We start from the raw sequence: 16,487 nt of genomic DNA, 5'->3' as shown, positions 1-16,487 counted from the left end.
GTGCCCTGTGAGACAGCCTGAGGCTGAGCCCAGGCTCAGGGTGCTGGGAGGCTATGGCAGGAGCAGAGGGGCACGCATCTCCTCCTCCTGGTCCCAGGATGAATGCAATCCATGGTCTTTCCAGAACGTTGGTTTTGCAGCCCACTGTCACAGGTTAAATCCTCCGGATCATCGAAAGGAGGTCCCTGTGCTGGACTCCAGCCTGTTGAAGGGGAGCTGAGAGCAGAAGGGCCCCTGACCTTGGTGAACTTTGAACGCAGCTCAACTCCAGCTGGAGCCTCCAGAGTCAGGGAGCCTCTGGCAGGGCTTGCTGGCCACCTCTCCCACTGCCTGTCCACAACAATGGCTTCCCACCACAAGCTCCTGAGACCTGCTGAGGATGTTCCTGGCCACGGGTGCTGAGGCCTCGTTCCTGCCAGGAAGGGCTGGGAAGCACAACCCCACCCCAGAGCAGCCCTCAGCCGCTGACAAGCCGGAGGCAGTCCGTGCTCCTGCAGCCTGTCCCAGCATGGGACAATGCTGAGGCCTGTGCTGTGACCTCCCGAGGTCCCCAGTAGGGCTGAGTCCAGGTGCCCTCACAGCGACCCCCTCATTAATGCACCCCTATTGGCTCCATCCCTTCCCTGCCTCCCTTCCCCACTCCCATATGGGCACTTCCTGGGGCCACCTTGCAAATAAACTCCTTGCACCCAAATCCTTGCCCCAGGCTCTGCTCCTGGGGACGCACATCTGGTGACTGAAGGGCTGCTGGGAAAGCTCTTTCTCCCCTATGACATCTGCCACCTGAGGCCAATCTCACTCCTGAGTTTCGTCATTAGAGATTCATCCTGTGGGGTTTAAAGATTGAAGTCTGGTCCTAGGATCCAGCAATTCCTAGACAAGAAGGAACTGAAAGCAGGGACTTGAACAGATATTTGGACACCCATGTCCATAGCAGTGTGATTAGCCAGAAGGTGGAAGCAGCCTACATGCCCTCAGATGGACGGAGTAATATGTGGCATATACTTACAGTGGCGTGTTATCCAGCCTTGGAAAAGGAAGAAGATCCTGACCCAGGCCACGGCATGGATGAACCCTGAGGACGTGATACTGAGTGAAGTAAGGCAGACACAAAAAGACAAAGACTGCACCTTTTTGAGTTTTCTAAAGTGGTCACAGTCATAGAGACAGAAAGAGGAATGGTGGGTCCTGAACTGTGCACTTCGAAATGGTTAAGATGGTAAATTTTGTTACATGTATTTTACCACAATTAAATATGAAAATCTAAAGAAAAAAAGGTTTAAGTCTGGAAATAGCAAAACCTCATGGGAGGTGGCACATCACTGCTTCCTCCTTGCTTCCCAGGAAACACACTGGCGAGTGGAGCGGCACATCCAGGAAACTCGTCACCAAGGCACCAATCCTGGGGGACATCCCAGACTTCCCACTCTTTCTCACCCCTTAAACCCAGCAATAACAAGCCCCAGCGTCCTCCCCACCCTCACGGCCACCCTGGCAGCCCTGGAGAGCCACCTCACCCTGCCCGGCCCTCCCAGTAGCCCCATTCCTCCCACTCTCTACCCGGGAATCCCACTGAAGCCCACTCCTGTCACGCTCACGCTCTCCCCCAGATCCCCAGAGCTCAGGACTGTATTTTCCAAACATCAGGGATTCATGTGTGACCTTCAGAATCCCAGCCATGGCCAGCATGGTGGCAGATCCTTCAGGAGACTTGACGTAGTCACCAGCACTCCTGGTCACTGACACCCTTCCCTAAATTGACTCACTTTCATCCAACTAAACTCACTTTAGAAGAAATCTTCACATCGCTAATATAAATGGAAAACCTACCCTGGGGTGCCACCAAGAGAAAGTCACAGTGTATATAAATAAATGCCACGAAAACAAAACAACGTTTATCAGTATCTAGCGAGACACGCTGGCTGCCCTCAGCTCTGAGCTGAGACTCATCTCTTTTTGTTAAAAATGCAGATGAACAAGTGGTAAGAGAGGGGGTAAAGGCATAGCAGGGCAATCAGATCATCAGAAATCTTAAAGAAGGAGTGAAAGGAAATAACTTCCTGCATTTTTAAGCCAATTCCATTAAACATAAGCCCTGACATCCCACCTAAACCATCTGAGGAATGCCCAGTAGAATGTGGCTCAGAACTTGGGACACACTGATCTTTAGCAAGAACTGCAGATAGGTTTCGACTTCCCTGCCAACTCTAACCAATTGAGGGTGACTTCCTGGCGCTTATCCTGAGAAAGATCCCCAAAGACTGCACACCGTGTGATACAATTCCATTTGCAGCCCCAGCAGGAAAGACACGATAATCGATTAGCAATGTCTGCCACAAACACGGGATGGGGGCTGGACAGCACCTGCCACACACTGACATCTCCAAACTACAGCATCCCAATTCCCAAAAGATTTCTGTGATTGACCAGCTCTCCTCTCCCAGCTCACATCAGGCCAACCCTTCCTATCCCAACATGTCACTAAGGCAACTTGTTTGAAATTGTGTTTGCATCCATCCTTGTTGGCTCCTTCTCGAAACCCTGAGAGGCAAGGTGTGTGATTGCCATTTTGCAGGCAGAAGGAAGGCAGGGCTCAAGGAGGTTAGGTGACTTGCCCAGGGTCATTCTGCTAGGAAATGACAGAGCTGCAGCACTGCCCAGGTCTCCTGGCTCCAGACCCAAAGCCCTGCCTCCCTGCCACCCTGCTAAACCACCAGAGGGGGAACTGATCCCTGGAAACTTGTCCCCCTGACCTAAAATGTATGACTGAGTCAGGAGAAAAGATGTTGAGCTGCATTTGTCCTACAGCCCTGTCGGCTGCCCTCTCCCAGGACAGTGGCTGTACCATCAGAGTAGACACAACAAACTTTTAATAACTCTACACAGCTCCAACCAGAAGTGTATTTTTACTCTGGTGAGTCAGTCATTTATTTGTCAATAGAGGCCAGTAAAGGAAAAGGCCCAGGGTCCATTTATAAACAGACTGTAGCCCCTGGAGACATCCCAGGGGAAGCCAAACGGTCTAGCAGTGCTCTTGTTTCTGCAAACAATGCCACAGAGCAGACAAGCTGCCAAGAGCTGTCTGAAAAACGGATTGCCAGGATGAACCTAAGGCATTAAAGTGCCCAGAAGCAGACAGTGTTGGGGCTGAGTGCACGGCCTTGGGCAGATCCGTGACCCAGCTAGAAATACGCTGGCAGGAGGTCACCTGTGCTGAGCCTCAGCTTCCTCACCTGTGAAATGGGTACACTGATACCAGCCTCAACAGCCTCCGTGAATATTAGAGAAGATGATTGATATGGTTTGGTTGTGTCCCCACCCAAATCTCATCTTGAATTGTAGTTCCCATAATCCCCATGTGTTATGGGAGGGACCCAGTGGGAGGCGATTGAATCATGGGGTGGTTACCTCCATGCTGTTCTCTTGATAGTGAGTTTTCACAAGATCTGATAGTTTTTAAGAGGCATCCCCCGCTCCATTGCTGGGCATTTCTCCTTGCTGCAACCATGTGAAGGAGAACATGTTTGCTTCCCCTTCCGCCATGATTGTAAGTTTCCTGGGGCCTCCCCAGCCCTGCAGAACTGTGAGTCAATTAAACCTCTTTCCTTTATAAATTACCCAGTCTTGGGTAGGTCTTTATTAGCAGTGTGAGAACGGACTGATACAACAATGTCCTTAGGGAGATCTCCTCAAGCGTCATCTGTGATGGCAACGAGACTGCTGGCAGTGACTGTCATGACGGTGAGATGGGAAGAGGGATTTCTTCAGTATTCATTCCTCAACCACTAGCTGTGTTTGCTGAACACCTGCTATGTGCCAGGCACTTTACTGTGTGTTGGGAGAGAAGGGGGGCAAAGCATGTGCTTATGTAGCCCCCCAAAGAGTAAGAAATAGAGGAACAGGATCTTGGCCTCACGAGAATGCAATCTGGCAGAACCTACCAAAGCTAAAACACCACATGACCCAGCAAGTTCTTCTCCAAATCTATACCCAATAGAAATGAGGGCTTGTGTTCTCCAAGGAGGCATGTGCAAGAAAGTTCTTTACTCGTAATAGACAAGAACTTCGAACAATCCAAGCATCTATCAACAGTAGATAGAATGCCAGGTGCAGTGGCTCACAGCTGTAATCCCAGTACTTTGTGAGGCCATTGTGGGTGAATCTTTTGAGCTCAGGAGTTCAAGACCAGCCTGGGCAACATGGTGAGACCCCATCTCTACACAAAAAAAAACAAAACTAACGAGGTGTGGTGGCATGCCCCTGTAGTCCCAGCTACTCAGGAGGCTGAGGTAGGAGGATGGCTTGAGCCTGGAAAGCAGAAGTTGCAGTCAGCCAAGATCACACCACTGCATTCTAGCCTGGCTGACAGAGTGAGACCTTGTCTCAAAACAAACAAACAAACAAACAAACAAACAGTAGATGGAGAAACAAATTGTGGTCCATTCATATAGAGGAATACTACACTGCAACAAAAAATGAAAAACCACTGCTAGATATGCCACATGGATGAACTTCACAATCATAACGTTGAGGGACAGAAGACAGATACAAAGGGGCACACTTGTTATGATTCCATTTATTCTCTGACAATCAGGAATAGAGAAAAACAATCCATGGTGCTACAAGTCAAAAAAAAAGGCTTCCTCTAGGTTGGGGCGGGGGCAGATATCAACTGGAAAAAGGACACAAGGGAACTTTCGGGGAATGAATATATTCCATTCCATGACCTGAGCAGTGATCATAAAGGTGTACCAATACTAATACTAATACTAATACTAATACTAATGCGAAATGTTGTATATGTTGTACCTATATTAAAAAAAAAAAACTAAGATTTAATACTAGCAAGGTCAAGAATAGAACATATGCCAGAGACTACCTAGTGGTCCAGGGGTTGCAAACTCATAAGTCTGTAAGGGCCAGGAAGATAACAAAAATGACTGAAGTAGGCCAAGCATAAGGCAATAGATGCTAAGTGGCTCAAATGGCTACCAAGTATAAGATCTGCCTAGATACAGTGTATTTAAAAATATTGTTGAACCAAATAAAACTGCCAAGGCTTGAGTGCTCACACTCATAGGCTGCAAGTCATGAGTCCTATGTATCCAATGCTTTGTTTCACAGTTAGGAGTGCAGGGCCCAGAGACATCCACAGATCTGCCTAAATTGGCATAGTCAAGCAGGGTCACCCACCTGCACCAGTGGGAACAGGCCAGAGCTTGACTCTGATTGGCTCCAAATGAGTCATGTGCCTGACGCAGGGCCAATCGCTGTGGCCCAGGGGTGGGGTCTGACACAGACACCCTACTTTAGATCAAGAGAAATATCTAAGAGTGGGTATCTTTCAAACACTGCAAAATGGCAAGCAGGCTGAAGTGGAAAGACTCCAGTAGGGAGGTTAAGAGATATGGCCTGGCTGGGCGTGGTGGCTCACGCCTGTAATCCCATCACTTTGAGAGGCCGAGGCGGGCAGATCACAAGGTCAGGAGATCGAGACCATCCTGGCTAACACGGCGAAACCCCGTCTCTACTAAACAAAATACAAAAAATTAGCCGGGCGTGGTGGCGGGCGCCTGTGGTCCCAGCTACGTGGGAGGCTGAGGCAGGAGAATGGCGTGAACCCGGGAGGCGGAGCTTGCAGTGAGCGGAGATCGCACCACTGCACTCCAGCCTGTGCGACAGAGCGAGACTCCGTCTCAAAAAAAATAATAAAGAGATATGATATGACCCTACTCCTGGTTCCATTTTAAAGCTCCAAGACTTCCCAGGCGAGTCCCTTAAACTTGCTCATTGCCTCAGTTTTTTTTTTTTATTAAATGGATAACGATATCATTTTGGTGCAAACGTAAATGCAGTAATGGCAAAAACCGCAATTAGGTTTGCATCAACCTAATACTTGAGTGTTAGGGCCATATTCCTTAACCTCCCTACTTGGCTACAGAAATTCTGTCTTACATCCTTATCCCCCAAGGTTCCCCAACTTTTGGCAGGTGATCCACAAATGTTGCTTGGTCAAATTAATTAATCAATCCATCCATCGTTCTTGACCATATCAAAGGGACACTGTGAGAAAGAAATGGCACAAACATGAAAACACGTAGTGAGGTGATGAAAACGTACGAGCCCGAACAGGCTATCGCAGGAACCAGCTGCTGGCAACGATGCTGAAGACATTTAAAAGTCAAATACCTGAACAAGAATGCAGCTCCTCTCTCCAGAGCACTTCAGGAGGCCAGCGCAAAGCAGCCAGACCCACCCAACGTCTGTCCACAGACGCCCTATTTTCTAGCCACCAAATGAATTGTTCAATATGTACTTTGAAGTGTAACGTTAACAGATGTATTTAGTCAGGACTCTGGATTGACGGTGACAAAAATGAAACAGAAACTGGCTTAAGCGAGCCAGCTTCAGAATTTATCAACTTCTTTAATCAAATATCGGGGTTAAAGAATGTATCAAGTTCTTTAATCAAATAGCAGGAGCGGAGTGGGCCTTGGAGACTCAAATGTTGTTCTCTCTCTCTCCCTCTCTCCCCTCTGTTTTTCCTCTCCAAGAAACAAAAAAGGAACTACCAAACTGAGCCCCTGCGTCTATAGTCAGACGCCACTGGAGAGAATGGAAAAGGGAAAAGCCTTCTTACGGGGGCCTCTCAGTCAGCTCCATCGGCCCCCACTCCCCGGTACCTCAATCACAGCCCCCAGGCCCCCTCCTGGGGAAGAGTGGGGTCACCCACCTGCGCCAGTGGGAAATAGCTGGAGCTGGACTCTGATTGGCCCAATATGAGCCATGTGCCTGACACAGGGCCAATTGCTGTGGCCTGGGGGTGGAGTCTGATACAGAAAGGCTGCGGGAGGTGTCCCTGAGCAGCCAGCCCAAATTATTTCTAGTACCTCCAGCAAGGACTCATGGCTTTCGTTTTAGTTTCTACCTGTGTTAGGCCATTCTTGCATTACTATAAACAAATACCTGAGGCTGAGTAATTTATAAAGAAGAGGTTTAACTGGCTCACAGTTCTGTAGGCTGTACAGTAAGTGTGGCACTGGCCTCTGCTGGGTTTCTGGGGAGGCCTCTGGAAGCTTCCAATCAAGGCAGAAGGTGAAGCAGGAGGAGGCGTGTCACATGGTGGGAGTGGGAGCAGGAGGGGAGGGGAGGTGCCACACATTTAACCAGATCTCACAAGAGCTCACTCACCAGCACTAAGCCATGATGGATCCACCCCGCAAGACCCAAACACCTCCAACTAGGCCCCATCTCATGTTGAATTGCAATCCCCATTGTTGGGTGGGGATGAGATTTGAGTGGGGACAAATATCCAAACCATCTCACTACCCAACTGCCTGCATGATATCCTTTCATAGCTCCAGAAAGATGAGTAAATGGGGAATCAAGAAGAAAGCAGAAAGACTGTATATTGGAGGAGGGAGGAGGAGGAGGAGGGAGAAGGAGAAGGAGGGAGGAAAAAGGAGAAGGAAAGGAAGGAGGAGGAGGGAGGAGGAGAAGAAAGAGGAGTGAGGAGCAGGAGGAAAGAAGAGAAGAAGGAAGAGGGAGAAGGAATAAGAGGAGGAGAGGGATATGGGGGGCTGAAGGAGGAAAGAGTAGGAGGAAAGAGGAGGAGGAAGACGAAGTAGGAGGAAGAGCAGGAGGAGGAAGGAGGAGGAGGAAAGAGTAGGAGGAAGACGAAGTAGGAGGAAGAGCAGGAGGAGGAAGGAGGAGGAGGAAACAGTAGGAGGAAGATGAAGAAGGAGGAAGAGCAGGAGGAGGAAGGAGGAGGAGGAAAGAGTAGGAGGAAGACGAAGTAGGAGGAAGAGCAGGAGGAGGAAGGAGGAGGAGGAAAGAGTAGGAGGAAGACGAAGTAGGAGGAAGAGCAGGAGGAGGAAGGAGGAGGAGGAAACAGTAGGAGGAAGATGAAGAAGGAGGAAGAGCAGGAGGAGGAAGGAGGAGGAGGAAACAGTAGGAGGAAGATGAAGAAGGAGGAAGAGCAGGAGGAGGAAGAAGGAGGAGGGGGAAGGAGGAGGAGGAAGGAGAGGAGTGAGAAGGGGGAGGAGAAAAGAGGAGGAGGAAGAAGAGGGGGAGAAGGGAGGAGGAATAGAAAGGAGGAAAAAGGGAAAGAGGAGAGAGAAATAGAAGCTAGACAAGTACAGAAATGACCATTAAATTACGCATAATAATTATTGTTTACAAGGCACTTTCACATTCATCTTTCTGCTCCGTAACCACAACTTCAAGGTGAGACGGGAGTTCTGGGCCGAGATTATTGTCTCCACTCTACAGATGAGACAAACAGATTTCAGAGAGGTGAAGTGGCTTGCCTGTGGTCATGTGCCTTGTTAGATTATGGAGAAGAGGAAAAAGCCCCAGACTTTCTCACTGCCTCCTGCAGAACCCTATCCTGCCCAGCACTGCTTCCCGAACATTAGCCATTCTAGTGAGCATGGTGCTTACCGGAGCACATGCCACTGTTCCACTATTTCGTTAATATTTTCCCTTAAGTCGACTCACATTTTTTACTTCAATAATTTTTAAAAGTCAACTTTACAGCACTGATGTAAATGGAAAGTTAGTATCTCTTGATAAGGAGAATGTAACTAAAAATAAACACAATAAAAGCAAAGCGATGTGATTAAGCTCTAGCTAGACATCACTACCCGCCCAGGGCTCTGTGCTGCAGGCCTGGATCTGTCTGTTAAATGAGAAGATTAGCAGGTGCTGGACAGGCCCACACCAAGCTGAGACTCTCCTTGATACAATCAGGTGGTGTGGAAGAGAATGGAAAAGGGAAGAGCTTTCCCACTGGGTGCCTCAAAGATAAGCAACACTGCATCTGCTCACCACCTAACAATCAAATAGGGAAAAGCATGCTCACTGTAGTTAACTGCTCATTTTCAGGGCCATCCTTTATTTATGGCAGGGATGTCTGGCTTTCCTCCTCCTTAGGGACATAAAGTTCCTTTTTGAAATAAATGCGTTTGGATTTGCAGTTTTGAGAAAACAGAATAGGCCAGGCGCGGTGGCTCACGCCTGTAATCCCAGCACTTTGGGACGCCGAGGCGGGCGAATCACGAGGTCAGGAGATCGAGAGCATCCTGGCTAACACGATGAAACCCCGTCTCTACTAAAAATACAAAAAATTAGCCGGGCATGGTGCTGGGTGCCTGTAGTCTCAGCTGCTCGGGAGGCTGAGGCAGGATGGTGTGAACCCGGAAGGCGGAGCTTGCAGTGAGCTGAGATCGCACCACTGCACTCCAGTCTGGGTGACAGAGCGAGACTCCGTCTCAAGATAAATAAATAAATAAATAAAATAAGAAAAGAAAACAGAATAATCCCTCTATGCTTTAAAAAAAAAAAAATCTCCCCCTGCAAGGAAAAAAAATAGAAAAATGCAAACCCAAAGTCTCCTTTCCATGAAATGAGACGACCATCTGTGACCCTGAATGGCTCTAAGGTATTGTACATGAAGCTGGGAAGCAGCTGGAAGAGACCTCCAAAACTATGTGTTTAGGAGGGTATCCCCACAAGCCTATTGGTTCACTATACTCCTGTAGACCCCTGGGAACGCTTGGGAGTTGGCAGGTGAACTGAGACAGGGCTGAACAAAGAGGCAGCATGGGGGCAATTAGACTATACAGGTCCCTGAACCAGACCTCAGTCCCACATCATGCAGACAGGATATCTGTCCACCCCACTCCTTTTCAGGGGTCATCACTATTTTCTCTAGATATATTAAACTGAAGAGCCCAGCACAGGGTCCTCAGAGATCTGCAGCAATGCTGGACTGCAAAAGTCAGCATCCTAAAATGTAAGATCCCACCACCTCCTGCCCTGCTCAGCCCCAGCGTGCCAGTCACCAGGCTCGTGTTCCCAGACAGGAGGCAGCAAGATCCATGCCAGGAGAAACAGAATGTACAGAGAGAGAACCTTTGGAGGACTGCAGAACCCTCCATCCCCTAGAGGGAAGCCCACCCATGTACACACCTCCTCTGTGCTCATAAACCTTCCATATGACTCTCTGTGCCTGGCTTCAAAACATGGCTGTCAATTCAGGGGTCTGCAATGTGAAAGTCAGAGAACACAAGCAAACATTTAAAAAACATCCTCACAAACATGAGAAAATCCAGAGCATTGGGGGAAAAATACAGTTAGAGATACTATTAATCTATTAACCTTAGAGCAAATTTGGACAAACTGTGGCCCACAGGCCAAATCTAGCTGGGCCTCTGAGCTAAGAACCGTTTTTAGTTTGTTAAATGATTGGGAAAAATCAGATGAAGAATAACATTTTGTGACACATGAAAATTATACGGAAATTCATATTTCAGGATTGATAAATAAAGTTTTATTGGCACATAGCCACAGCCATTCACTTACGTGTGGCCCTGGGCTGCTTTTACACTGCAGTGGCAGATGGGAGTCAATGCAACAGAGACCATACGGCACACAGAGATGAAAATATTTACTATCCAGACCTTCACAAAAGGTTTGCCAACCCTTGCCTTAGAAAAAAGAGAAGCTATAGTATCTATCAAACAAAGACAGCAAGAATAGAATGCTACTTTTAAGGCTCACTTAGAATGAAAATAGATTTTTAGAAACAAGTATGACAGCATAAATTAAAAATTCAATAAGTGTTGAAAAATAAAGGAGAGAAAATGCTCCCAGAAAGTAAGTGGAGGGATTTGGGGATAGTAATCAGAAGGATAATGGGAGAGAAAATTCAAAATTTAGAGAATCAGTCCTTGAGGTCCAATATTCTACTACTAGGCATTCCAGAAAGACAGAACAAGAGAACTATAAAAAAATAGTCAAAGAAGACAAGAAAAGTTCCTATAATCCAAGAACATGCATCTCCAGAATGAAAGGGGTACTCGTGTCCCAGCACAGGAGAAAACACCACAGCAAACAAGTCAAACATTAACAAAAAAAAAAAAAAAAAAAAAAAAGAGGATCCCTGTTGCTACATCCCCTACTTCCATCATACATTGCTCTCAAGACAACCACTTTAATTCTCTTAGCTCTCTCTTCTAATATGTGTGTATTACTGTTTCTTGATTCATCAGTTTCAGGACTTAACTACTGACTTTTATTAAAGGAAATGAGGATTTTAGTTCATGTATCCACCTCTCTTCCCCACACTCTCCTAATAGAATTATATTGTAATTTTCCATAAAATTGGCATTCAGTATTTTCCTTCTTATGACCATAAAAATACTATTCAATCTGAGACAAGTAGTGTACTATCATTTATTTCCTTTTTGTATAATTTCTTTTTCTTTTTCTGGACCTAATAGTTAGTTGTACCTAGTTCTTTTATTCCTTTTTTCTTTCTTTCTTCCTTTTTTACTTTTCTTTTTTAAAAACTATTTTTATAAACCAAAATGTTAATACTATTTAACATGTGTAATTTTGATTTTTACTTTTTAAAAGTAAAATAGGCTGGGCACAGTGGCTCACGCCTGTAATCCCAGCACTTTGGGAGGCTAAGGTGGGCAGATCACTTGAAGTCATGAGTTTGAGACCAGCCCGGCCAACATAGTGAAATCCTGTCTCTACTAAAAATACAAAAATTAGCCAGACATGGTGGTGGGCATCTGTAATCCCAGCTACTCAGGAGGCTGAGGCAAGAGAATCGCTTGAACCTGGGAGAAGGAGGTTGCAATGAGCCAAGATCATGCCACAGCACTCCAGCCTGGGCAACAGAGTGACACTCCATCTCCAAAAAAAATAAAAATAAAAAAGTGAAAATATCTTTTCTTAAAGATATTAAAATTTTCTTTAGGGAAAAATGTAGATTTAATGAAAAATAATAAGTAAATAAGAGTACAAGTAACATGACTATATTAGTCCATTTTCACACTGCTATAAAGAACTACTTAAGACTGGGTAATTTTTGAAGAAAAAAAACGTTTAACTGACTCACAGTTCCACATGGCTGGGGAGGCCTCAGGAAACATCAATCACAGGAGAAGGCAATCAGGAAGCAAGAACCTTCTTCATGGGGCGATAGGAGAGAGAGAAAAAGTAAGAGGGGAACTGCCAAACACTTTTAAACCACTGGATCTGGTGAGAACTCACGCACTATCCCAAGAACAGCATGGGGAAACCGTCCCCATGATTCATCACCTCCTACGAGATGCCCCCTCGACACGTGGGGATTACAACTTGAGATGAGATTTGGGTGGGGACACAGAGCTACGCCGTATCAATGACCACATGGGAAAGTTTGGGAAAAGTCCTACATGAGTGACGAATGTGTGAGAACAGATGGGTGGCAGTGATGGCAGCGGGTGTTCTGGGCAAAGGGGCGAGCTGTGCAAAATGTTCGAGGTTAGGGCAGGGCCAGAAGTGTGAGGGGCAGAATGAAAGTCAGTCTGGCCACAGCTTACATTTCTCAAAAGCAGGTGGAGGCAGGGAGCAGCAAGGCAGCTTTCCTCTCACCTGTAAATGGGCTCCCCTGGTTCATACCCTAGTAACCAGTGCATCGCGTGAGTGAAGAAAAGAGTTTTTGGCTTCTGACTCACAGGAGGGAGCTGGATAAGAAGGAAAGATGATTGGGGCTCCCCTCTGACCAGGGGCGAGGGCGTCCCTGGAAAAGCATCTCCCTCCCTGGCTGTTCTTGCCCCTCCTTCCTGCCGTGGCTTGGTCACGATGAAACCGGCTCCCCGCCCTGCAACATCTGTTCCTTGTAACCGTGGATCCAGACAGAAAATGCATGTGGGTATCAGGTATGCACAGAGAATGGAGTTATGTTCAGGGCTGAGAGGATGTATTCTAAGGTAGGAAAAAGGGAGATATTAAGCCTATCAAAATTTAAAATAAATTGTTCTAATAGACTTGATTGTATGAAATATTTTTCCTACATAAGCCTTAAGAATTCATATTTTGTAGGGCAAGAACTTGTTAAATGCAAGAATGCAGTCAGAAAAATTCAAAGTATGGGCTACGCCACATGATAAATGGCTTGTTTCCTTAATAAATAAATTGCAATGAGAGAGAGAGCGAGGTTGGGGAGCCGTGTGGAGAAGAAGAAAAGAAAACAGAGGAAGGAGAGGGATGGGAAGGAAGAGGAGGGAAGGAGAGGAGAGGAACCACGGATTAAAAGCAACCTCCTCCCAGCCTCCATCTTTCTCCTGTGCTGGATGCTTCCTGCCCTCGAACATCAGACTCCAAGTTCTTCAGGTTTGGGAGTGGGGAGTCTAGTCCTCAAAAACTTTTTCCAGGCTCCAATTCTCTGGACAGAGTCAAATTGGTTCCATGTAAAGGAACTCCCTAAGTCCTGTCTCACCCAGCCAATGAGATGGCTCCTGGCTGGAAGGCTTTTCACCCAGCCAATGAGATGGCTCCTGGCCCCAAATGCTGTTCACCCAGCCAGTGAGATGGCTCCTTGCCCCAAAGGCTGTGGTCCTGATTTGGGGGCGTGCCCTGACAGGTCTTCAAAACAGAGCAGGTCTCGCCCATATCACAGCCCACTGAGAATTCACATTTCTCTAATTGTGAACCAAACATGAACCTCTTTTCGACTTGGGAGCTCATTTATGCTTGGCAAAAGGCAACATCTCGTTTCAAAGCCGGGAAGGGAAGACTTTAAAAGATTTAAAACCCAACTCCAAAAACTCGTTGGACACCAAATAGCTTTTGAAATAAGGTTCTGATGAGTTAAGAGCACATGGATCAGAAACATATGGATTAAATTCCCCCTAAAATCCACATGGGTTTAAAAATGAAGGAGAAAGGGGCTTGGCAAATATCTTTCCAGTTTTATCAAACCCCAAGCATGTTAAAAACAGTCTGAGATGGTCAGTGAGTCCAAAAAGCAGATGAATTCATCCCGTGCTAATCGCAGGGCTAAGGAAAAGACCCAACTGAAAAAGTTTGGAACAGCAGGCCTGGATGGGTATTAGTTTCTCACTCCATCCAATAAGCACAGGTCTCTCTCCAACATGCCAAAAGCCAGGAACTGAAAACTACACACGGTGCCGTGAAGTCGTTCTGGTCTTTGCAGCCACCGTTGTTCTTCTTGGAGGCACGTAACTGCATTACAGGAAATCCCAAAAGGCAGCATTTCCACGTAGCTCTGGCCTCCACCTGCAATTAGAGACTCCCTCCAGAATTCTTCCGGTCGCCGGGTATGGGAAACCAAAATGGCTTCCACCAAAAGAAAGTAACATCTTCATGCTCTGCGCACCGGAGATGAGGCCCCGACTCAGCCTCTGAAGAAAGCAAAGCATGTGCCCTTTTAGAATCAAAGTTTGGACTCTTGAAGAGGTGTGTGGTCAGGCATGTTTCAGTGGTACTGTCTCTAAGTCCAAATGGCAGAGATCCACAGCATGTAGTGACCAAACGGCTTTTGGCCATCACTGAAGCCAACTCCCATTGAGTAAGTGAGGAAATAAAGCCCAGAGAACATGGGGACCTGCTGGGAGTCACCCAGCCAGATGAATGACAGCCATGCCAGTGACTGGATTCATGACTCCCATTTCCCAGGCCACACATAGGCTGGATCTCAAGAGCACATGCTACACAACTCCAGTGCGACATTCTAGAGCATGACTCCGAGAATCGCTGTGGATGGTACCCCTGGGGTTGTACAAAAAAATGCACCAGTGGCCAACGCTTTTACAGAATCCAATGCCAACTCTCACCTCTGTCTTGTCTGTGCTATCTGAATGGCAGCAGCCTTCTAACCCTATTGCTGAGGACCTGCCACTGAGAAAGATGAGAATGGTGCCTTGAAAATGGACTCTGGTGCCAAACTGCCTGGGTCTGCCTGCCAGCTCTACCACTTAGAGCTGCGTGAGGTTGGGCAAACTACTCCACCTCTCTGTGGCCCAGATGCCCCACCTGTAAAATTAGGTTGGTAGCAGTTCCCGCCAGAGGCTTGCAGGAAGAATTGCAGGAGTTTGTACGTGTCAGGCTCTGAGGGCTCAATCGGTGCTTGCTGTTTTTCCAGTGATGTGCCAGGCACTGCAGATACATGACCTCATCCCATTTAACCCTCACCACCACCTCGGTGTTATTAGCTCATTTAAGGGATGAGAAATCTGAGACTCCAAGAGACTGAATAACTTACTAGCAAGTAGCAAAGCAGGACTGCCAGATAGGGCTGGCTCCAGGGCCACTTCGAACCCCAAAGGCATATCTTCTTCAAGGCACACAGCTTGGCAAGGAGGAGTGAAGTTTTCAGCTCAGCCCTTCTGCTGGTTCTCAGAGCAGTGAGCAAACAACACAGCCAAACGCTATCCCCTGTCCCACTCCAGAGCCTTGGGCTCCTCTTAGCTGACCACAGGCACAGGGACGAGAGGAGGGGCGAGTCCCCACCTGGCACACAGGCAAGAGCCCTGTTTCTGTGTCCTCCCAGCCATGCACCCTTGAGCCGTTGACTTCACTGAGCCTCAGTTCCCTCATCTGTAGAATGGGCCTACTGTTAGCGCTTACCTCACAGGCTTGGGAAAAATAAATGACAGAAGATCTGTCAGCTCTCACTGGGCAGGGTTCCCAGCACATGTTAATTGCTGGGTAATTGTGAATGCTCATGACTATGTGGTCTCCTGGGCATGCTCCAGCCTCCATCCCCAGAAGTACAAAATATCTCCATAACACGGAGTCCGGCAAACTTGGTGTTCTTTCTGCAAACCATCTCCACTGCATCCCTTCGTAACCAGCTTCCTGTGCACCAGAACAGGTCCAGGATTGGGGCACGGAGATGCAAAGAAATGCCAGTGTCCCTGTTGCCCGGGGATCTCCAAAGACATCTTTGGGTGTGTCTTCATGGGCGTGTCAGGGGTCTGGCGGTTTTTATGTCTGTGAAGGTGCGGGTGGCTGCAGCTAGTCACACATCAAGATCTGAGACCAAATGAATCACTGCTATTCTAAGGTGTCACCAAGGTTGGGGCCACATTGATGGGTCATGTTTTCTGTCCGGCCTGATGGATACACTTAGCCCACCTCAACCTCAGTTTTTTTCATCTGCAAAGCAGAGCCAATAATACCTGCTTCTAAAGGGTGGCACCAAAAAATCCAGCAAGTACCCAGTCCCTTCCATTGCCACGGTTGGACACTCTCCCTCAATCCGCAATGCAGCCTCCCACGAAAAGCCAAGAACACGGCAGGTTCAGACCATGAGCACTAGGATGAGTCCATCCCCTGGGCTCGCCGAAGATGAAAAGAATCGCTTTGCTACATCAAGATCACAAACCTATTACATGTTTAAACCCAAAGAGGGGTCCCGGGCCCTTTGAAGCCAAGGTAAATACAACTGCTTAACAGCTTCTTTTAACTCTCCAATGGGAACCGAGTTGTTTAAATGGATTCACGTTTGCTGGCAATCTCTTTTTGCAACATGGTATTTGTTAGAAATCAGGATTTTACTTAACTAAATGTCTTGCGGTTGCCTCCACTTTGTTTCTTAACGGGGTTCTCTTTATGTGAGTTTTCTTTGGCTTCTCAGTAGAAGAATAACAGATTCCTTTTGAAGTTTTTTATTGATGAATGAG

At 47.3% G+C, this 16,487-nt stretch overlaps 2 annotated features.

Annotated features, from left to right (window-relative positions):
• Positions 284–850: an enhancer, noted in NCBI's record as "H3K4me1 hESC enhancer chr16:86644136-86644702 (GRCh37/hg19 assembly coordinates)". NCBI's record gives its function as "activates a minimal SCP1, AML or CMV promoter by ChIP-STARR-seq in primed H9 embryonic stem cells {active_cell/tissue: H9 hESC(primed)}" and the evidence as "EXISTENCE:reporter gene assay evidence [ECO:0000049][PMID:30033119]".
• Positions 966–1,465: an enhancer, noted in NCBI's record as "H3K4me1 hESC enhancer chr16:86643521-86644020 (GRCh37/hg19 assembly coordinates)". NCBI's record gives its function as "activates a minimal SCP1, AML or CMV promoter by ChIP-STARR-seq in naive and primed H9 embryonic stem cells {active_cell/tissue: H9 hESC(naive and primed)}" and the evidence as "EXISTENCE:reporter gene assay evidence [ECO:0000049][PMID:30033119]".

The sequence above is a fragment of the Homo sapiens genome, chromosome 16 (assembly GCF_000001405.40).
Source record: "Homo sapiens chromosome 16, GRCh38.p14 Primary Assembly".
Classification (NCBI taxonomy): domain Eukaryota; kingdom Metazoa; phylum Chordata; class Mammalia; order Primates; family Hominidae; genus Homo; species Homo sapiens.
The sequence above is the reverse complement of the archived record's forward strand: the minus strand, read 5'-3'. Positions and strand labels throughout refer to the sequence as shown.